General features: G+C 43.9%; 1 protein-coding gene and 1 long non-coding RNA gene across 15 annotated transcripts in view, besides 1 other annotated feature; one reads left to right on the top strand and one right to left on the bottom strand.

The window, feature by feature from the left end:
- Positions 1 to 10,597, top strand: part of EXD2 (exonuclease 3'-5' domain containing 2) — a 52,521-nt gene extending 41,924 nt beyond the window's left edge. For all 10 annotated transcript variants that reach the window (NR_034164.2, NR_034165.2, NM_001193360.2 and 7 more), the window contains 5 exons: positions 1,279 to 1,610; positions 2,625 to 2,731; positions 2,986 to 3,121; positions 4,154 to 4,510; positions 7,463 to 10,597. Coding sequence is in view for 8 of the 10 variants with exons in the window: in NM_001193360.2 (NP_001180289.1) it covers positions 1,279 to 1,610; positions 2,625 to 2,731; positions 2,986 to 3,121; positions 4,154 to 4,510; positions 7,463 to 7,679 (1,149 nt within the window). In the remaining 2 variants the exon portion in view is untranslated. The remainder of the gene's footprint in view (positions 1 to 1,278; positions 1,611 to 2,624; positions 2,732 to 2,985; positions 3,122 to 4,153; positions 4,511 to 7,462) is intronic.
- The window catches only part of GALNT16-AS1 (GALNT16 and EXD2 antisense RNA 1), a 77,510-nt gene that overhangs the window by 50,404 nt on the left and 4,625 nt on the right, over positions 1 to 22,481 (bottom strand). Inside the window, exon 3 of one of the 5 annotated variants that reach the window (NR_184251.1) lies at positions 5,650 to 5,796. The exons of the other annotated variants lie outside the window; for them this stretch is intronic. This is a non-coding gene — a long non-coding RNA (GALNT16 and EXD2 antisense RNA 1). The remainder of the gene's footprint in view (positions 1 to 5,649; positions 5,797 to 22,481) is intronic. 5 annotated transcript variants of the gene reach the window in all.
- Positions 5,301 to 5,925: an enhancer, noted in NCBI's record as "OCT4-NANOG hESC enhancer chr14:69705439-69706063 (GRCh37/hg19 assembly coordinates)". NCBI's record gives its function as "activates a minimal SCP1, AML or CMV promoter by ChIP-STARR-seq in naive H9 embryonic stem cells {active_cell/tissue: H9 hESC(naive)}" and the evidence as "EXISTENCE:reporter gene assay evidence [ECO:0000049][PMID:30033119]".

Consider the following 22,481-nt stretch of genomic DNA (forward strand, 5'->3'; position numbering starts at 1 on the left):
TAATTAATTTATTTATTTATTTTGAGATGGAGTCCCACTCTGTCGCTCAGGCTGGAGTGCAGTGGTGCGATCTCAGCTCACTGCAACTTCTGCCTCCTGGGTTCAAGCCCCAGGTTCAAGCGATTCTCCTGCCTCAGCCTTCCGAGTAGATGGGATTACAGGCGCGTGCCACCGCGCCCAGCTGATTTTTTTTATTTTTAGTAGAGATGGGGTTTCCCCATGTTGGCTGCGCTGGTCTCAAATTCCTGACCTCAAGTGATCTACCCGCCTCAGCCTCCCAAAGTGTTGGGATTACAAGCGTGAGCCACCACACCCAGCCGAATTTTAGTTTTGACCACGCTACTTTTTTTTTTTTTTTTTTTGAGATAGAGTCCTGTTCTGTCTCCTAGGCTGGAGTGCAGTGGCACGGTCTCAGCTCACTGCAATCTTCGTCTCCTGGGTTCAAGCGATTCTCCTGCCTTAGGCCTCCTGAGTAGCTGGGATTACAGGCGTCCACCACCACACCCAGCTAATTTTTGTATTTTTAGTAGAGACAGGGTTTCACCATGTTGGCCAGGCTGGTTTCGAACTCCTGACCTCAGGTGATCTGTTCGCCTTGGCCTCCTAAAGTGCTGGGATTACAGGTGTGAGCCACCATACCTGGCCCACAGTACTTTTCTTTATGACCAGCTTGCCTATCACCAGTTGCTTAGGAGAATGACTTACCACTATTAAATAAGTAAATTCCAGGAATGGGCCCTGTGACTTTGATTTGAGGCCCATGTTTGAAACCTATTTGTTTTTTTTGTTTTCAATATCATATTAATAGATATGGCAGTTCATTTCTGATTGACAGTCACACAGGCCTCTTAATGAATCATGATTTCAGCCATTCCAGAGGATGACTGCCTCCAAAGTGAATTTCATGTACTAGTTATCAGGCCTTTGTTAACTACCCTTCCCCCAAACTTGAGAGAAATCTGTCCAGCAATTTGGTAGTAGATAGAAACTTCACTGATTTATATAGGTGAGGATTTTCCAGCATTTAGAGTAAGTCATTATTTTAGCTATTTTAGTTAAAAACATAGGGAACATGAGAGTTAATCATACTATTCAATTTACTTTTGTGTAGTTTGAAAATTTTTATAATAAGAAGTTTTAAGGAAGTGTATGGTGCCCAGGTTGTCGTACATTTTGAATTAGGATCCTAAGAGTTATCTATTTCTTTGTGATTGACTTTGAAGTTTTTCTCTCTGGTTTGCCTTCCAGATTCCACTGATCTCTGACTTTTCTCTTCAGGTAATTTATGCTGCCAGGGATGCCCAGATTTCAGTGGCTCTCTTTCTTCATCTTCTTGGATACCCTTTCTCTAGGAATTCACCTGGAGAAAAAAACGATGACCACAGTAGCTGGAGAAAAGTCTTGGAAAAATGCCAGGGTGTGGTCGACATCCCATTTCGAAGCAAAGGAATGAGCAGATTGGGAGAAGAGGTTAATGGGGAAGCAACAGAATCTCAGCAGAAGCCAAGAAATAAGAAGTCTAAGATGGATGGGATGGTGCCAGGCAACCACCAAGGGAGAGACCCCAGAAAACATAAAAGAAAGCCTCTGGGGGTGGGCTATTCTGCCAGGTAACTGAATCACTCCCTGTCTAGTAAAGAGTCAGTGGCCCAGCCTTAGCAAAGGGTTTGATGCTTCCCTGGGGTCTGGGGAGAAGGCTTGTAGTAGGGGAGCAGCAGCTCTCCCGGGGTTAATCTTGCTTTTTCTTTCCATCAGAGACATTTGGTCTCTCCTTTGCTTTATTTGTGTATTTTTCTCCTTTTCCCTTATTTTACCTTTTTATTTATTGACAGTTGGGGTGGAAATGAGGAAAGCTTAGCTTAGTTCTGTCATTGACCCTGATGTGACCTTAGGCCTTAACTTCTCCAACTGTAAATGGGGATATAATTATCATTCCTTCCTTGTTTCAGGCTAGCTGTGGAAAATAAATAACATGTAGTGCCTCATACTTTTCAGGAGAAATGCATCATCTGATTTCTTGTTCATATGTTATTTGATTATTTAGAATGACATCCAGCTCCAAGAAAATGTTACTCTCTAGCCAATGAAAAATGTCCTGTATAACTTATTCCTCTATTGTAGGAAGATGACTAATAAGTACTTTGGAGCATAAATTTGGTCCCTGTAGCAAAGTGCCTTTAGGAATTAATTGGATGATTAAATTGAAGGAAGTGTTACTGCATGTGAGTTAGAAGTAAATCCACATGGCCCTCATTACTTTGGCTTGAACTTTAAAATTTTTAATGTACTTTGTTTAATCCAGTGATTTGGCAGTTTTCTTGTTGCTTGGTTCTTTTTTGCATTCACAGCAGAGCTGTGTGTAAACCACTTGACACACTCCCTAATGTCCTAGTCCATAAGTGTAAAAACTAGAGGCATAAACTCATTCATTTTTAGTTCTGTTTCCTAGCCCAGTGCAGGTGAGGATTAAACATGGTTTCTCACTCTGTTTTTTCCATAGTGGTGTGTTTGACCTTAGTGTTGAGAATAGTTTTGAGTCACTCAGAAGAGAGCATGGGAAGGCAACAGACATTTTGACCCACAGTTAGCTTCCGGTTTGAGATTTCTCTTTCCTTTCCCTGCAGAAAATCACCTCTTTATGATAACTGCTTTCTCCATGCTCCTGATGGACAGCCCCTCTGCACTTGTGATAGAAGAAAAGCTCAGTGGTACCTGGACAAAGGCATTGGTGGTATGAGATTCAGCTGTCCTTGTTTATCTCTAATTAGGTGCATTGGATGCTGGCAGGAGTGGGGAGTGAGATAAGGAAGAGGGAGGGATAGAAGAAGGCAGAGAGACCGTGAGATGCATGGGACTGGGTAGGCACAACCCAGAAATCATGTTCTCTGCCAGGCCATAGCAGAGAACAGTGAAGGTAGTGCTGCTTCTTGGGTGTGGTGGTGGGGGCAGGGGGAGCAGTCAAACACTGATGTCTCTTCTCTTAAGAGCTGGTGAGTGAAGAGCCCTTTGTGGTGAAGCTACGGTTTGAACCTGCAGGAAGGCCCGAATCTCCTGGAGACTATTACTTGATGGTTAAAGAGAACCTGTGTGTAGTGTGTGGCAAGAGAGACTCCTACATTCGGTGAGTGCAGCATTGGGCCACCCTGGTTGTCTGTGGCAGATGGAAATTGCTTTTGTAGCCATATGCAGAGCCTTTGGGGGCTGTGGCTGAGTCTGTCCACTTTGGCTGAGAGGCTTGTTCCTAGTATCCAGCTTCCCCAAGAGCTTTGGTATTCTGCCGCCCTTGCTATAGTGGCCCTTACCCCTCCTGAGCCGTTTCTCAGTTTCTGGAGTGCAACACCATACTCAGTAATGGTCTGTCATGGGGACAGTGGTTCCCTTTTGCTCATGAAAGACTGAAGACCAGTTCCTTCAGAAGCTGTGTCCCTCTCATCCTCTCTTGACTGGCTGACCAGCTTTTTGAGCCATGGTTTTATTCATGGAGTATCCAGATGTCCTGAAGCCTGCTCTGTGTTGTAATACTGTTTCACATCAGGGCCCCTGCACTGTGAGGGTGAGGCTGCCGACTACGTCTGAGTGCCCAGACACTTGGGCTTTCTCCCTGGCTTCTGTGGAGTCACTCACTTTCCTCCTTTCTCCCCTGCAAAGTGAGACAAAGTCATTGCTGCCAAGAGTTTTTCCTGAGAGCTTAGTTCTCCTTAGAAAATAATGATGAACCTGGTGAACCAGGGAAATAGATTAAGGTATTCCTCAGATGAAGGAAATTGGCTTTTTCAGGTTCCTAGGCCTTCTTGAGAGAGTTGTTTTCCAGTTGTCAAAGGCCATTAGAGTATCTTTTCAGTTCTCTGAGACTTTCCCTTCTGGGAGCACAGCCTTCTCAGAGGTTGTTATTAACCTGTCACTATGCTGGCCCACCACTGAAGCCCACAGCAGGTGGTCTGTACTTACTTGCAGGAGAGAGGAAGCTAAGACACAGATGGGCTGAGAGTGGAATAGGTGATACTGCCTTTCTGTGATCTGTGTTGGGCGGTGGTGCCCAAGGCTTCTCAGTCATGGTTAGGCCCCAGTTAGAACCCCAGTAGCCTGTCTGCTGTCTTCCCATGTGCTCTGTCATACACTTATGAGCGCTGCTTTCCGGCTGGGCTTGTTCCAGGAAGAACGTGATTCCACATGAGTACCGGAAGCACTTCCCCATCGAGATGAAGGACCACAACTCCCACGATGTGCTGCTGCTCTGCACCTCCTGCCATGCCATTTCCAACTACTATGACAACCATCTGAAGCAGCAGCTGGCCAAGGAGTTCCAGGCCCCCATCGGCTCTGAGGAGGGCTTGCGCCTGCTGGAAGATCCTGAGCGCCGGCAGGTGCGTTCTGGGGCCAGGGCCCTGCTCAACGCGGAGAGCCTGCCTACTCAGCGAAAGGAGGAGCTGCTGCAAGCACTCAGAGAGTTTTATAACACAGACGTGGTCACAGAGGAGATGCTTCAAGAGGCTGCCAGCCTGGAGACCAGGTACAAAGCACAGGAATTGTGGAATGTACCAGGGACATTAACCCTCATTACTTAGTGAGAATGCTTGCCAGGGAGGGGGCATTGGCTGCTTAGGCACAGTGCCTAGCCTCATGCTTCACCTAGTAGGTGTCTAGTAGTTTAAGATACCTTGGAAGTGGAATAGAACAATCTACTTGAGGAGTTCCTTTCCATAGGAAACTTGCTTTTGTGAGGTGCCTATCTTTGACCTTTTTAAAGATCATACACTTAATTTCGGTCATTTTTGTGATTAGCGTGCGAGTGCAGTTGTGGTGGAGCTGCATCTTACACATTCTATGCAGACGTAAATCCTCATGCCAGCACATGAGATGAAATAATAGTCCAATAACACCCTCGAAGTTCTGAAGTTCCCCATGAGATACAGTACATTCACCCCTCAGTATCCATGGGGGATTGGTTCCAGGACCTCCCTTGGATACTAAAATCCACCAATGCTTAAGTGCCTGATATACAATGGCATAGTATTTGCATATATCCTGCACACATCCTCCTGTATACTTTAAATAACCTGTAAATTACTTATAATACCTAATACAATGCAAATGCTATGTAAGTAGCTTTTATATTTTATTGTTTATGAAGTAATGAGAAAAAAGTTTGTACATGTTTGGTACAGATAGTACAGATAGTTTTTTTTTTTTTTTTTCCAAATAGTTTTGTGGTTTTTTTGTTTTGTTTTTTTGAGATAGTATATGGCTCTGTCACCCAGGCTGGAGTGCAGTGGCACTATCTTGGCTCACTGTAACTTCCACCTCCCAGGCTCAAGTGATCCTCTCACCTCAGCCTCCCAAGTAGCTGGGACTACAAGCATGCACCACCACACCCAGCTAATCTTTGTATTTTTTGTAGAGATGGGGTTTCACCAGGCTGCCCAGGCTGGTCTCAGATTCCTGACCTCAAGCAATCCACCTGCCTTGGAAGAACTGGGATTACAGGCATGAACCACTGTGCCTGGCCCCAAATCATTTTGATCTGAGGTTTGAATCCACAGATGCAGAACCCACAAAGATGGAGGGCCAATTCTATGTGTGGTTTTGTGTCTCCGACTTTATACAGGTCTGTGAGAACTGTGACTAATGAATTCATGGTTCCTATCTCACCTGCACTCCAGGGTATCGGCTCACTGAATGGAATGTTGAGCAGAATTGCTGTTACTATGTAAATTACTTTTCTCTTTTTTCCTTCCTTGCTTTCTCCCTCCTTCTCCATGAGTACATAGTTGAATTCTTGTGACACAATGCAGTATTCTGAAATGAGAAATGAATGGGCACGTGGCTCAGATGGTAAGAGCTCTGGGCTACCATGCGCAGTTCTGCCTCCCAACTGTCACTTTTTCCAACAGGACCAGGAGTTGAAATAAGGGAACTGATAAGTTCACAAAACCTTGAGCGTGATGCTGGTTTTTGTTAACTGAAAAATAAAAAAGTAACTCCAATTATAAGCAAATATTTAATTTTTTTAGAAAACAAAAATTTTTTTACTCTTATCCATTACTACTGATCCATTACAGATACTGCAAATATTTATTGAACAGTTATTTATAGATATACTATATCTTGCAGCAAACCAGCTAATAAACTTCACATAAATTGCCTTAATTGTTTCTCATGACAACCCGACAAAGTAGGATTTAGATTTCTTACTGGTTAACTGCTACTATATCTTAAATTTAAAAAATCTTTCAGGGTTTTAAAAGAATTATAGAATTTTATCCCCATAACTATTTTGTGAGGTTGTAGAATAGATGTTGTTTTGTAAGTAGCTGGGATTACAAGTGTGTGCCACCACACACGGCTAATTTTTGTATTTTTAGTAGAGGCAGGGTTTCACCTCGTTGGTCAGGCTGGTCTCGAACTCCTGACCTCAAGTGATCCTCCTGCTTTGGCCTCCCAAAGTGCTGGGATTACAGGCATGAGCCACCACGCCCAGCTGCCAATATGTTTTCTAAAGCAGCTAAACCTCCCCTTTCGGCCACAGACTTTTCTAACAAATTCATCTTGCTGAATTGGGTAGATGAATGCTGGACTTGTGACTGAGAAGAACAGTTGTTTGGAGACAGGCAAGTTAGTGGGAAGCGCATGAGCTAAATATTAATAATAAAGTGTCTGCAGATACCCAGAGACGCCAACACTGCTGGGGTGGCGGGTGTCTTGGGAGGGAGGATTGAACATGGGGTATGGATGTAGGGAGAGGAGAGTGTGTGTGGGCAGGGTGCTTCCTTGAGGAAGGTCATCTTTATTCACAGGAGGTGAAAGCACCATTCACACAGCATCGGAGCAGTTTTTTAAGGACTCTGCTTAGTTAGGAAGGAGGGAGGCATTCATCTTCTCATTTAATGGCACCATTTGCACAACTGAGCAACCATGGAAGCATTTCACTGTGACCGAAACACTTCTCACCACTGTGGCTTGGCATCTTTTTGTGAGAAAAAAGGCTCTAAAGAAATATGCTACCTTGCATTTGACATTCAGTTATTAAATTGTGTTGTGAAAAAGTGTAACATGCGGGCCGATTTAACAGCCTCATATAAATACTGTGTCCCAGAATGAACAACTTAAAAGAGGGGTGAACTGGTCACTGGGTAATCCTGGAAGAAATGGAAGACCAGCATTCTTCATCCATTATCAGCTGGATGGTAGTGCCCCTCTCGTGGGAGCTGAACATTATGAAGTGGCCTTCCTGTCAGTAGAGCTCAGAACCCTCAAATACCTTCTGTTGGGATTGCGAGTCGTATGTTCAGACTATAAAAAGGGCAGAGATAAGAAAGAGGATGTTTCGAAAACACCAAAGTAACTAACCCTTTAGGAGTCCTTCAACCTCCCCAGTTACCCTTGGCGCGCAGCATTTGAAGCTGTCTGTGAGGCCATCCTGCGCTTGTTTCCCTCAGACACTTTGTTTTTCATGTTTTGGCAGAATCTCCAATGAAAACTATGTTCCTCACGGGCTGAAGGTGGTGCAGTGTCACAGCCAGGGTGGCCTGCGCTCCCTCATGCAGCTGGAGAGCCGCTGGCGTCAGCACTTCCTGGACTCCATGCAGCCCAAGCACCTGCCCCAGCAGTGGTCAGTGGACCACAACCATCAGAAGCTGCTCCGGAAATTCGGGGAAGATCTTCCCATCCAGCTGTCTTGATAGCTGCTTTCCTCCCAGTTAGGACAAGTGGGAAGCTGGAGCCAAGGTTGAAGAGTCACCTCTTCCCATTTTAGTACATCATTAATTGTCAAAGCCTGTGTGACACAACTCAGAATACTAACCTAGACTAATCCCAGGATGCTTCTGCTGGAGCAAAGATATTGTTTGAAGGAGAGTTTATGGTTTTGGATTTTAAACGGGCAGGGTCTTTTTTCCTCTCATTTTTGTGGACAAGAGAGGCCTTCGCCTTTATTTTTACTCTCCCTCTTCTGCTGTCCCTGTGCAGAGGAAAAATGAAGAATTCTCCCAGAAGTGACTTGTCAAGACTTAAAAAAAATGTTTTTAATGCATTTCTTCCTTGTCTAGTGCCTCGGTTTATCTCTAACAGGGGCTGTCCAGTATATCGGTCCTGTTAGGAGGGGAGAAAAAGTTCTTCCAAAGGCTGGAGAAGTGAACAAGGAGTCAAATTTATTTTCCCAATTCAACTTCATAATTATCATTTCTTTGGCTTCATGCTCTCCCGTAACTCATGTGGTTGGGATCCATCCCATCTGGGTCACTTCAGTCTACTTCACGTACTTGAAAAGGCTTTCCTTTACACTTCCAGGACCAAACAGCAACTTCCTGCCACACACTTCCACCCTATCACTGGGAGAAATCCTTTTCTGGACATGAGCCTTTGACCTGGGTGGGGCAGAAAGAACCACAAACTCCATCTCCCAATAGAACTTTGAAATTCACTCAGCTTTTCCTTTCATGCTGTTTGTTGCCTGCTTGTTGCACTCCTCCTGCCCCAGAACTGCAAGATTTTTAGCTTCACCCCTTTCTGAGAGTAATGTTATCTTTTATCAGAATCAGTATCAGTTCCCCTGTATTCTGTGCTTCATCGAATTTGCAAGACTGACCTCTTTTAAGCATTTAATTCACTCCCAGAGTCATCTGGTCAGGTTGCAATATGAGGACTTCTCTGTCTCCTCTGAAGCCTGGGACACTGAGCTTACTTAATACATTAGATGTTCAAAAGAGGAGCGTTGTTTCATCTTTCAAAATGTTAGGCCATTACTTTGAGTATAAAATCGACTTATTAATGATTAGTAATTTTTCTAAAGTATTGGGAAAACTTTCTTATTTTATAAGATCTTAACAAGCTTAAAAAAGAATTTTATGACCAGAATCCAACAAGAGCTCTATTTTGGAATTGTGCCCAAGTTGGTGATGTTTACTCTAAAATTAATAATAAAACTACTTGTAAGCACAAGGCTCACTGGATGTAAATGTAAAACTTCGCGACTTTATAAAACTGGCATTCCTAGGGGAGGGGCTATTTATCCTACAGGTCCCTGCCTCCTGGCAGTGCCATGGTATGTGTGCATGGATATACCAGACACAGTCACCATCGGCCATCAGTAGCAGCCCATGAACCCACGTGCACATCCTGCATCTTGCTCTTCTGACCCTTCATTCCCACTTGTCTTCAGGCAGGCATTTCTGGGATCTAAACTAGAAATCCTTGAAAACAAATAGTACCAGCCACTTTGAGGAATGTGCATTCACTGTAGTGGGTTATTATGGGGTCTCTGCCTCCTGGCTGTGTTATGCGGAGCCCAGGAGTGGAGGAGAGCCGTGGAAATAGACAGGGAGAGGCTGGTACTTGGGTTGTGGTAATAGTCAGGCTTGCCACAAGAGGGCACTCATAGATTTGTTTTTATATTCATTCTTGAGAAAAAAGCAACTGGTTACTGAACGTAACTCATGACTTATGTTTCAAATTTTGCATAGCTGATTTTAAGTCATTTTGATAGCTTTGCAAGAAAAATTTTTCCTTTGAAACAAGGGAGTAGGGCTGTTTCATTTTCTTTCCTTCTAATCCTCATGCCAAGAGGTGAGAAACACTTAAGGTCATTTAAGGTGCTAGGGAAAGGGTTTTCCCATGGAGCTTTCTGTGAGGCGCAGTAAAATAGAGCCAGCAGCAAAGTAGAGGAAAAAGCCAGACTGCGTCACACAAGATTTCTCATCCTTTTCAGGAGAGAGTCACTGTGTAGATTTGAATCTTTTTTCTTTGAGTCTGCTTTGAACTTTAGCAGGCTTTTCCTAAGACTGACAATTGTCGTCTTAAATCAGAGATTTGAGGGTAGACTTATTTTATGGCAAATGTCTATTTTTCTGATATAAAAGTAACAATGCTCATTACAGAAGAATCTAAACAAAGAATAAAAATTAGCCATCTTCTCTCCATCTAAAACAGAGCTAAACTTTGCTGATATGTTTATGAATTTCCTTTCAGTATTAAAAAGTGCATATAAGGTGTATATTTACACAAAATTGAAGGTCATACATAGATACAGGTTGGTATCCTAACTTTACCCTCTCACTGATTAACATGGTATCACGAGTAACTTCCTATGTTTTTAAATCTTTGAAAATAGATTTCTAGTGGTTCTACCTTATCCATCCCCACACTGTTGAAAATTTTGGTTGTTTCAGATACTTTTATTATCAATGATGATGTGATAAAGTTTCTTGTATATATCTCTTTGGCTCTATCTTTGGTAATTTCTTAAGAATGGAATCTTAGAATTGGACTGTGAAGAGGGGGATTCACATTGCTGGGGCTAAGTACAAATTGACATCACCTTTTAGGAATGAAATGCTTCTCTTTGACCCTTTAGCTCCAGTGTCCCAGCATAGTCACTGGGCTTCATAGGAGTAGCAGTGAGAGGACAGTGTCACAGCAAGGGCCTCTCTGCATGCTCCCTGATCATTGTGTTTGCAGGTTCAGCATTTCTTCTTGAGTCCTTCCCTTCTTCCAACCTTATTGCCTCATTTCCCCCTTGTAGTCAATGTTTTTTGGAAACACTGTTTATTTTAAAATAAAAATGTAAAAAAAAGGTAAAAAAATAAAATTTTAAATTTTAAAATATAGGCTGTAGGCAGATGTTTTTTCCCTGCTACACAAACAATTAGTGATTTGCCATCCCAAAGTGAATGAGGCACAATATTCAGGGATTTGTTACGGCTTACGCTTAAGAGCACAGCCATAAGTTACTTATTCTTATCCATGTCACGGATAGAGATCAGATGACAAAATGTGTTCTGTTGAAATAAAGCCATTTTAATCATGCATTTTAGACTCTTAAGAATCCAGCAGGCAGAAAGAGGTTTTGTTCACCTTCCTATTCGCCTATTAGTTTGGGGCCCTAACATTTGACTGTAAGTTAAGTTCTTAGTTTACCCTGCCTCTCAATTTTTCATTCATTTATTTATCCTTTCTTCCTTTTTTTCCCCTTCCTTATGTCTCAGCCTTATAAGAAGTATCATTTTTTCTTTTAAAGGAGATATTTTCTCAGTTTGCTAGTTTACTAATTATTATGTATTTTAAATGGATCTTTCTTTCTGGTCTTTTATGTTTCCTATTATAAGATGGTTATTTTTTGAGAGTACCTAATCCCCTTAGGGATACACTGAGAATCAGTTTCTGTTGGAAGAGATAAACTAAAAGAGGGTATAAGAATGATTCTTGTTTTGATTAACTGTTGATTGATATGAATAACATAAAAATAATACATAATCTCCCCAGTACTTTTTTTTTTTTTTTTTTTTTGACATGGTCTCACTCCAGACTGGAGTGCAGTGGTGCAGTCATGGCTCACTGCTGCTTCAACCTCCAGGGCTCAGGCAATCCTCCCATCTCAGCTTCCCAAGTAGCTGGGACTACAGCCTTGTGGCACCATGCCTGGCTAATTTTTTAATTTTTTTGTAGAGATAGAGTCATGCTTTGTTGCACAAGCTGGTCTCAAACTCCTGGCCTCAAGCCGTCCTCTCACCTTAGCTCCCAAAGTACTGGGATTACAGGTATGAGCCACTGTGCTCAGTCCCCCAAATACTTTTGTTTTGGAATTCAGGTATAATTTTCAGGCATTCACCAAGATACCCCTTGTGCAAGAGCCCAGCACCTTCTGCCTGTCCCAGTCCTGGAGTAGTTTTGCATCAGGCAATGGAGTAGGGATGACGTGCAGCCACACAGCCCATGTGTTCAAAAGTACCGATTCCACCAGCCTGCTAGGAGACGTATTAGTCACTCCCTTTGCTTGAGGAAGCAAGGCCTTGCTTAAATGCTAGCATGTTATTTAGAAAGGTGGGAAGTACATTAGACCATTTTTTTTTTAACCAGCTTTATCTGTGGCCAACTCTGGTTGAAGGCCCCTAGAAACTGGGTAACTGGACCAAATGGTTAATCATTTGAGAGATAATCAAGAACTGCCTTTGCAGAGGAACAGAGTTGTCAAAGGACCTAGTTCATGCATCCTGGGTTGTACCCCCTTCTGATGTGGTGCAGGCTGCCTCAAAGGTCATTTTGTGTTGTGACTGAATGGAGATAATGTCATACCCTCCAGACTGAACTCAAAGCATTTGCTTTTTGCTATTTGTTATTCTTGAATTTTTCTCTCTTGCTGGATGGGTAGCCTGTTGCCTTTCTCCCAGCATAAGCTTCAAAAGCTGCCGAGTTTACAGGCAGCATTATTATAAGCATGATGTTTGGGTTCAGAAAATTCCTGAGTTGAAATGGCTACTTAGAATCTGCTTCTGCTGCTGCTGCTTTTTTTTTTGTTTTTTTTTTTTTTTTGAGACAGAGTTTTGCTCATGTCATCCAGGCTGGAGTGCAGTGATGCAATCTTGGCTCCCTGCAAACTCTGCCTCCTGGATTTAAGCGAGTCTCCTGCTTCAGCCTCCCAAGTAGCTGGGGTTACAGGCGTGCACCACCGCACCTGGCTAATTCTTGTATTTTTAGTAGAGACGTGGTTTCACCATGTTGGTCAGGCTGGTCTCGAACTCCTGACCTTAGGTGATCCGCCCGCCTCAGCCTCCCAAAGTGCTGGGATTACAGGCGTGAGCCATCGCACCCGGCCCCTACTTCTGCTTCCTAAAGATCTCCCTTCTCAGGCTGCAGCACGCCAGGGCGGAGTTGAGATTCTGGCCACTCAGGCCACCAGGGTATCTATTAAGTCCTGGGTAAGAAACAGAATTTTGAGCTTAGTCAGCTACAGGGGGCTGAAAAGGAATGAGACTGAAACATGGATAATTTTAAAGGAGGTATGTTTGTTTAGTGGGGATGGGGTAGGCTGGGGGCTTGTTCATGAACTGAACTTTAAATTTTGCTCTTTCCTATACCTAGTTCTGTCATGTATTGGAGGATCAAAAAAAAGTGTGCTGGTGACTGAGGTTCTGGTTCCAGCCACCAGCTGTGTGCCTTTGGACAGATCACTTTTCTGGGCTCCTTTCTGTATCTATAGAGGTTTGAATTAGATGTGCTGTAAGGGCCCTCCTAGCTGTAGCATTCTGTAATCCACCCCACTGTTTCCTTATGTGGCCCTTTCCCTTGAGTACTGTGTACTTTCTGCTTTGTTGCACACTCTCGTCCCACCCCCAGCGCTGGGAATGGAGACTGCATGGAAAGAAGGGTAATGAGGGAAGCAGGATGCCACACCATGGCCTCATTGACTAGGGAGAAGCCTGCTCTCTCCATCTGGTGTCAGAATACCTGTCTCACCAGAGATGTCTGTGTGTGGGGAGCTCACATTTCCCTATCGCCCAGTCCACTGAATAATCAGAAAGAGAGAAGGGAAATCTGTATGTTTAACCACATTGCCAGTGCTCTAGGATTTAATAGGAGATAAGTGTAAAAGGGAAATGAGGCAAGTGTGCCAGGTGTTGTAGATGGGAGGATATTGAGTGGGGAAAGACTGTTTCTCATTTTAAGGATAAAGAAATTAAGATTTTATATATATATACACACACACACGTATATATACATATATACGTATATATGTGTGTATATATACATATGTATATATACACACATATATGTATGTATATATGTATGTAATGGAGAATTGAATTGGGTACTTTGAAAAAAAAACCTTAAACCAATAAGTAAAAATACTCTTTCTGTGTTTTGTGTGTGGGGTTGTAACAGCCCAAGAATATTGGAGGCGTCCACACTGTTAACGTGTTCTTACCCATCCATGAGTGCTAAGACATGAAGAACTCACAGGGAGACAGGGAAGCATCTCCGGAGCCTGTTTTGTATAACCCTGACATGCCTTGGACTTTGTCCTGCTTGCCTTTGCCTTTGCCTGGGCATCAGCTAGACAGACATGTGCAAAATGTAAAGTTTGCATTTTATAAGCTGCTGAAGACATTTCTTTCTATATCTCCATCCCCTATGACCTGACAGAAAATACAATTTCTAGTCCATCCTTGTGCTTAGTTTCAGTCCCAAAGTGGATTGGCTTTTCATTGTGTAACACAGATTTGTATCAAATGTGTTCATCTTGGAGCTCTTTCCACAATAATCACCTAGATCTAGACATGAGCCCCTGCTTTTACCAAATTGGGGTCCTTTTGTTGTTTGTTTCAGAAAAAGTAGGCAGCTAGCCAAACAGGAAGCTCAACTACATTTCTCTGCCCTCTCCTCGATGGACCCTAACTTTATCTAAAATTCTGAAATTTCTCCTTATATCCCATGGAATCAACTAAAGCCCTGTTGGCTGGCTTCGTTTCTTTTTAATCACGATATGTATGTTTGGCCCTGGAGGTTTGGTAAGCCTGAGCTGTTGCACATATGGCTGCCTCTGAGTTCTTGGACACAATGAGCAGGACTAAAGTTGGCTACAAAAAGGAACAGAAGATGACTTAGGTTAGTTTTTCTTTTTTAAATGTTATACAAGTGCAGAGCACTTGGCTGCCATCCCCCTCTCAGACCATCAACAGAACTTGACCTTGGCCAAGATTTTGCCTCATCCTCTCGGCATTTCAGCATAGAGTTGCGTTTCAGCCATGGAATGCTTAACCAAAAGCACATGCTGTAGTGGTGGTTTCCAAAGAGTAAGTTTTTGCAAAAAGTCCACATAATGTTTCCTCATAACAGCAGCTTTCTCTGAACCACCAACCCAACAAACCTCTAAGTGGTGATTTTTTGGCTTATTTGTCCACAAGGACTGTGATTTTTTGTTTTGTTTTTAGCAATACTTTATTAAAGTGCAGTATAAGTAACATATGATAAAGTGCACACATCTAAGAATACAACTCAATGAATTTTGACAAATGCATATATCCATATAACCACCAGGGGCTGGTGTTTTTAATATTTTGTGAAGCACCTATTCTAATGATGTACGTTTTGGGATTGGAAGGTTGTGCATTCTTCTAGCTGAGAAAATTACTATAAAACAGTAAATCCAGATCAAAATGTGATGAAGATCCACCTGCCACAGAGAAAGTATTAATAGAATATAAGGCTAGGGTGTAGGAGAAGTGGCCCAGGAAAGCCATCCATGCAAATTTTGTTTCCTTCCTACTTGAGAGGGTTGGGGATGAGAGGTCCGTCCTTCCCTGGCTCATAAGCCCATGAGTTGTGTAAAACACTGTTCAGTAAGGCAGAATATAAGTCCTCTTATATATTGAGTCCAGACAGTTTTCCCTTTTGTCACATCTAGTGGATTTGGTTATTGCAAAGCTTCATGTTTGTTTTTAGTAAGTTAATTTTTAAAAATAGGTAAAATGTGCACATAGTATAAAATTTTTAAAAAACATATAATGAAAATCGCTCCAGTCTTTCTGCCCTCCTTGAAGGCAACCAGTGTTACTATTAATTTGCATCCCTCAGAGAGATTGTATGTGTGTGTGGTTTTGTTTTGTGTTTTAATTCCCAGGTTTCTTATTTGGTCGCGAACCAATAATATTCTCCACCCCTTTGTTTCACACTTTAGGCTCTAGTTTAGGGCATTTATGCAGAAACGTTTTGGATACTGCAGCCTGAGTAGGACTACTTCTTTTTGTTCTGTACCACGAAGTTCATCCTCTATATCTGTCAGCTGGTTCAAAAGTTCATGTTTCTCACAGGATTGGCCATGGGTTGAGAATCACTGAAGCTGTGTGTTTATCATAGTGGGCCCCCTCTCTCTCTATATATATATATATATATATTTGAAATTTTCCATTAAAAATGTTCTTTAAAAACTCAGTCTTTTGTTTGTTTTAAAGTAATGCTTAGTTGCAACCTAAAAGCAAACCATAGATTAATCTCTAGACAGAACCCCCTGCCCCACCATCCAAGTCAGACATTCAGAGTTCCCAATTTGCAAATTGTGACCTAGGATGGTTATTCACCTTTACAAGCCATCCTTCTGTTTAAACATAGGATTGACTTCAAATTTATTTTGAAAAGCCAGCTTCTCTGGCAGGTAAAATTTGATTTATACACTAATTCTTTCAAGAATATGAATATCATGCACAACAGAGGGCTTATATTCTGCCTTCTTGAACAGTGTTTTACACAACTCATGGGCTTATGAGCCAGGGAAGGAAGGACCTCTCATCCCCAACCCTCTCAAGTAGGAAGGAAACAAAATTTGCATAGATGGCTTTCCTGGGCCACTTCTCATAGACCCTAGCCTCATATTTTATTAATACTTTCTCTGTGGCAGGTGGATAAGGAGTCAGGTCTTCTCCAAATTAGAACTTCCCAAAGATACACAGTCCAGAGAAAGGAGCGAGGCTGTTGGTGTTTTCCAATTCAAGTCCCGTATGGTTTCCCTAGGGCCATTTTACCCTTGATGCCCTTTCATGCTCGCTCCTTTGTCTTGCCATAGTCTAAACACCCAAGGCCTCTCAGTCATCATTAAGAATATTCCCACTGGTCAGGGAGTGCCCTTTGAGCGTGCCCTTAAGAGCAGCTGTCAGATTTGAGCAGCATCTGCTTTCTGACAAGCTTGAAAACAGGATGAAGGAAGCCATTGAGTATTTCCCAGTGGAAATGGTACCACAAGCTGCCTTTGGGACTGTGTTCAATATGCGAGGAGTTTAGTGGCCTGGCAGCTTAGGTGGGGGTGGGGGATGTAAGTGTGGGTCATTCAGGATGGAGCAGGGATCTTCCCCATCCTGAATGGTCTCAGCCATGTCATCCATGCAGGGTCCTGATGCTGGAATCCTTCCCTCTCCCTCAGCCTTCGGCTCCAGCCTTTTCTGGGCAGGGAAACAGAATGAGGCAAAATGCCTGGTGTGTTTTAAATAGATTCTTCTTGTGGCAGCCAATGAGTCCAACAGCTTGGAAGGTGAGTGACCCTTCCCGAGAGACTTATGTTGTGCCATTTCTCTTGTCCCTAGCCCCTGGAATACTGACCACCTCGACCCCTCCTGCTGTCCTCCCCTTCGACCTAAACTCCAGTGATGTTAGCCATCCTCCTGCTGCTCCCTAGATGGACTGTCTTCAGGCTTTTCTGGTTTTAGTATTTATTACACTTCCCACTTGGCTTTTTCTGTCCCCAAAGCTGATTTTCCTCGTGCTATTTGTCCACTCCACCCAGTGCACATCCCCATCTGCTGCTGCTTGTCTGACTGTCATGGCTTCCCGATGATCTTCTTGCCTCCACCTTCCCGTGGCCTGCTTGGGGACAGCCCAGCCCCACCTGGGCCTGTGTGCAGCTGGGGAGGCAGGAGAGGCTGCTCATTGCAGTGGCAAACACTGGGGCCTGCAATGTGAGGTCAGCAGTCAGTGCTCCAGCACAGCCAGGACACCCCAGATTGAGCATGGGCAGCGTGCAGAGCCATTTTCAAAAGAGTATCTTTTAGCAAAGAGAGTTAGGACTTCAGAAGACCAATGTGGCCTCTTCCCACCCTATCCACGGAGACCACTTACAAGACCTAAGCATCATGATCTCTGGATTCCCAGTAAGGGGTCATACAAAGGAAGGACATGAATATTTTTTACTTGCTAAGGGGAGATTGGCTGTGTTGATTCTGGAAAGATGTAGGGTATGGGGTATGTGAATGGACGGTAGAGGCTCCTACCTCGAACAATCTCGGTTGTGGGGCAAGTGAGAGCTCCAGACTAGGAAGCAGACCTCAGTGATGATGGCTATTCTTGGCAGTGTGGCAGTGCCATAAGTCGGTGAAACAGGTAATGGGGGGGATCAGAAATCTGAGGAGGGGCATAGAGAACATAGGACACACAAGTGATGGGCCAGCACCCATTAAAGGTTAGAATCAAAAGAGGAAGGTCAGGTGGAGGCTGGATGTCATGAGGGAAAGTTGATGAGGAGCAGGCACTGGGGAGACCAGGGCAGTGGGACCCTGCCAGAGACCCTGCAGCTCAGCTCTGCCACATGGAGGCAAGCAGTTTGGGGATAAGGCCAGGAACAAAGGGATCTGTGAGGACCCTGTCTCCTACTCATCTCTTGCCCTTTTATTATTTTTTATGAGCCTGTCCTCATGTTATATTAGTAGTAGAAAACAAACAAAGGCAGTCTGCATTTGAAAGGGGATGGCACAGCCTGGAGAATTTAAGGCTGGATGTACTTCCCCTTTTGCTGAATTCTTAGGCCTCTTTGCCCATCTGCTGCTGGAGCTATGGGGCCAGTCCCTTACTGGAGCACTCTGAATGGAATCCCTACACAGCTCGACAGCTCAGATGAGTGCCGGCGGCAGGGGTAGCCAGCAGCGGGTGTGCACCCACAGAACCCCTCCAGGCCCATGGGGCAGCCGGGGGAGCAAGGCTGTTGGCCAGCCTGGCTAGAGAGGGACCCTTAGGGAGGGTCTGGTCTGAAGGCAGCTTCCAGCGTGTGACTCCAGCTCAGTCACTGGGCTCCTCTTCCCCTAGGCACTGAGCTGCAGAGAGGCCTGAGGTAGAAGAAAGAGGAAGGAAAACTTTTTTCTTGCTGGAAAAGAATTTTAGGTAAAGAGGTAAAAAAAATTGAAAAGGCACAAAGGGTATACAATGAAGGTCTCTCTCCTACTCATGCTCCCCTCAAACTCCCCTCCTCAGAGGCATCCCCAGATGTACCAATTTCTTGTACATTCTTCCAATTTCTCCTTTTTTAGTCTGCTGTAATCCAGAAGTTTCCAGATTCTTGAACAAATGGACTATTTTCAGTTGTTGGGATGTGTGTGTGTGTGTGTGTGTGTGTGTGTGTATGTCTGTGTGTGTGTAAGATGTAGAGGGGGGGATCAAATGATAATAAAGAAAATTGTATCCTAGTTGATTGCCCATCATTCTTGCTGAGGCAGGGAATGGTTTAAAACATTAAAACAAGTAAATAGAATTCTAAAATGCTAGCACTTGAAAGGACCTTCCAAGTACTTTTTTCTTTCTTCTTTTCTTTTTTCTTTTCTCTTCTTTTCTTTTTCTTCCTTCCTTTTTTTCCCAAAGCCCTCCCCATAAACATGAGGAAGAGGCCCAGATAAGTGACTTTTCCAGGGTCACCATGCTAGCTGACAGCATATCAGCTACTGAAGTGGAAATTAAAGCAGTGTTCCTGGAATTGGTATGTATCTTGAAGCTGTCAGTATGGCTGAAGATATCCATCGATATATTCTGAAGTGTCATTTCTAAAACCCAGGTTTCCCATCTCCCAGTTGTCCCAGTTGCCCAAGAAAATACTGCGTGCTCCATCTTTAGGTAGTGGTCTTTGTAAAGATAAGTGATTCAGAGGTGGAAGGAAAGACAAGTGATCAGACATGGATTTAGAAATTTTCTCCGGTGGACACAAATAGGAGGAAAGAAATTAGTAATTCCAGGAAAAGCCTGAAGTCAAATTCCAATTGAAAACAGAGCCTGTGCACACATGCACCCGCCCACCCACCCATACACAAGTACTGGCAGAAGACAGAAGATGGCTGCCGGCAAAGTCTATTGTCTGTCTGTCCTGCTGGGCTCCGGGCTGAGATTCAGGGTCCAGGCAGAGGCTGTGAGAGGCAGCATAGCGCCATCCCTCTGCCAAAAAACTTGCAGCCCTCTGGCTTACTGTCACTGGGCAGGTATTTTCTTGTTGGGCAAAAGGGATAAATGTCAACTTAGACTGGACAACTAAGAAGACAAGCTGTGCGTGGGGAGGATGTGCCTGGCCATGCCACCATGGAGCTCTGCCACCACTGGCTCCATGAGCACTGATAGACAGCCCCAGCTGTTTCCTACCACCTACCAGGAGGAAACTCCATAAAATTTACACGCTGATAAAATGGCAGGATGATATTTTAAAATCCTCCCTGTTTTGGCATCAGCTCCAGACACTGTGAGCAATTTCAGTGTCCAAGCCAGACTGATGGGCCTTTTGATGGCTTCAGAGGGTGGCTTCAGTGAGAAGGGGACATGTAGGACTGTAAACATTGGCTGTAAAAGCCTTCAATTGCTTTGAAATGGTAAATTTCCAGGCAATGTAGATCTGATGTTATATGCCTCCTGCATTAACAGCTTTTTCTTCCCGTTCAATTATTTTGACTGGTAAGGGAGTAGAAATTACACTTCAAAATATATCGATGGATATTTTCAGCCTTGCTGAGAGCTTCAAAATATGTACCAATCCTGGGAACATTGCTTTAATTTCTACTTCCCAGTTTCACAAGGAAAATGGAGATATCAATTATAAGCACCATTAAACTGAAGGAAATGCAGGACCAGGACTATGGATCTCTCTTCAAATTCTCTTTGGTCTTGTCACCTGACCTTTTTGATATGGAGACAAATTTTATTCAAACCCTAGGTCAAGGGGTCCATCCTGGGTTTCCCGATAAAGCAATGAGTATTCCTAAGAGACTGGGTCCAGGGACTTGAATTAAGGCATCTGACAGAGGCAGAAAAAAATGCCAGTTTTCTGTCTCTCCATCTTCACACGAGGCATCCAGAAGCCCTCATCTCTGACAACATGGCCTTTCTGCCATGCCTAGGTGCTGGGTACATAGGCAGCCACCCAGCAACATGTTCACCCCAGTTGTGTTTCTGGCTTTCTCATCTCTACCTGACTGGCGACGTCCACTCTCCCTGAGCTCCATATCTGGATTTATAGATGCCTTCCTGGACCGACCACAGACAACTCAAGTTCACTGAACACACCTCCCAAATTGGCTCCTCCTCCTATATTCCCCATTTCAGTTAATGGTTACATTACACCAAAGCACTAGTCTCCTAATCAAGAAACTTAACACGCTATTCTCAAATCCTTTCTCTCACATCCACCTCAAACTGACCACCAAATCCTACCCTCTTTCTCTCCTGCTTCAGTGTTACTGCTCTAATCTGTGCTTCTGTGGAGCTCTATTATATCATCTTGTGATTTTTTTTTCCTCTGAGGCAGGGTCTTGCTCTGTCACCCAGGCTGGAGTGCAGTGGCATGATCATAGCTCACTGCAACCTCAAACTCCTAGGCTCAAGCTATTCTCCCCACTAACCCTCATGAATAGCTAAGACTACAGGCATGCACCACCATGCCCAGATAATTTTTAAATTTTTAATGGAGATGAGGGCTCACTATGTCTCCCAGGCTGGTCTCGAACTCCTGCTCTCAAGCAGTCCTCCTGCCTTGGCCTCCCAAAGTGCTAGGATTACAGGCATGAGCCACCACACCCGGACTCATCTTGTGATTATCTATGTGTATTTCCCCATTGTCAATTACTGGACTCTTCAGAGGCTACAACCAGATTCTATTAATTTTTGTATCCCCAGTACCTAGAAGTGCCTGGCATGGTAGGTGTTCAAGAAGGAAAGGAAAGGAAGGGACTGGAAATTCCACGCCAATGGGCAATCAAGCACTGGCTTTACAGTCTGAGTGGGCTATTTGGCATTTTCATGGGACAGAATGGGGAGTAGCAGCAGCTGCCACCCTCAATATTCATTCATTCATTTACTCTGCCTAGATATTTAGCGAGTGCTGCCAAGATGCCCAACACTGTGCTAGAAACTCATGATACATAAAAGGAGGCTGCCAGTCTCTGCTTAGAGGAGCTCCCATTCAAGGGAAAGACAGGCATGTGGTAGGCACTAACCTGGCATCTTGGGCCATGTAGTCTGATCTGAGGACCTTGGCCACCCAGCTCTGCAGAGGCTACGGAGAAGGGGAAGTGACTCAGGAGAAGGTAGTGGAGACGGGAAGGTCAGAGAGGCCTTGGAAAGGGCTCTGCCTCTGGGATCAACTCTGCTGAGGAGTGGTTTTATTTATGTATTTCTCCTTTGTACAAATTCCTTGCTTGTTAATGAAAATCATTTGACACATTTCTAATTAGCCTGCAGCCTCTGCAATCCTATTATTCCCAAATGCAACACCTGGGTTATTTCATGATCCCTGGTAACATTTATGGTTCTTGCAGTTGTCCACCAGAATTGGGGTCATTCCTTCTGCTACTTCTCATGGGACCACAAAGGACTTTCTCTCCCCCCTCATCCTGGGGCAGGAAGGTTTGGCCCTGGCTCCATGACTTGGGGAGGAAGCACTGGCAGGGGACTCCCTACACTGGCCCGCCCTGACCCTAAACGAATCACCCCCTTTGTCTGTGCTCTAGTCCTGTACTCATTTCTCAAGTGCTTGGCTTAAGAGAGAAGTGCATTTTTTCATAGAGCTACACTGCCTTTTCTCCTCCTTCCCTCTTCCTCTCCCTTCCTTCCATCAACAAATAACTATGCGATCGCATTCCAAGGGCTTCAGACAAACAAACAAACAAAAAAACAAATACTACACACTAACAAGCATGTACTATTTGCCACTACTATAGGCACCGGGGAAACAGTGGTAAGGAAAATATACAAGAACCCCAGTCCTCTTGGAATTTTTACTCCAGTGGCAGAAACTAATAAGTAAGAAACCAGGGTTATCAGACAAGTAGGAGGAGGAGGATTGACAATAAGAAAACTGCCAAGTTCCTTTCAAAGAGCTAAGTCCTTTCCTCCATCTATAATGGTTTATAGAAACTACCTTATAAATATCTTTTCCTTAGAGACGATTGGTGCATTGAGTGCGCTCAGCTGGCAGTGGGCAG

Source organism: Homo sapiens, chromosome 14 (genome assembly GCF_000001405.40).
Source record: "Homo sapiens chromosome 14, GRCh38.p14 Primary Assembly".
Lineage (NCBI taxonomy): Eukaryota > Metazoa > Chordata > Mammalia > Primates > Hominidae > Homo > Homo sapiens.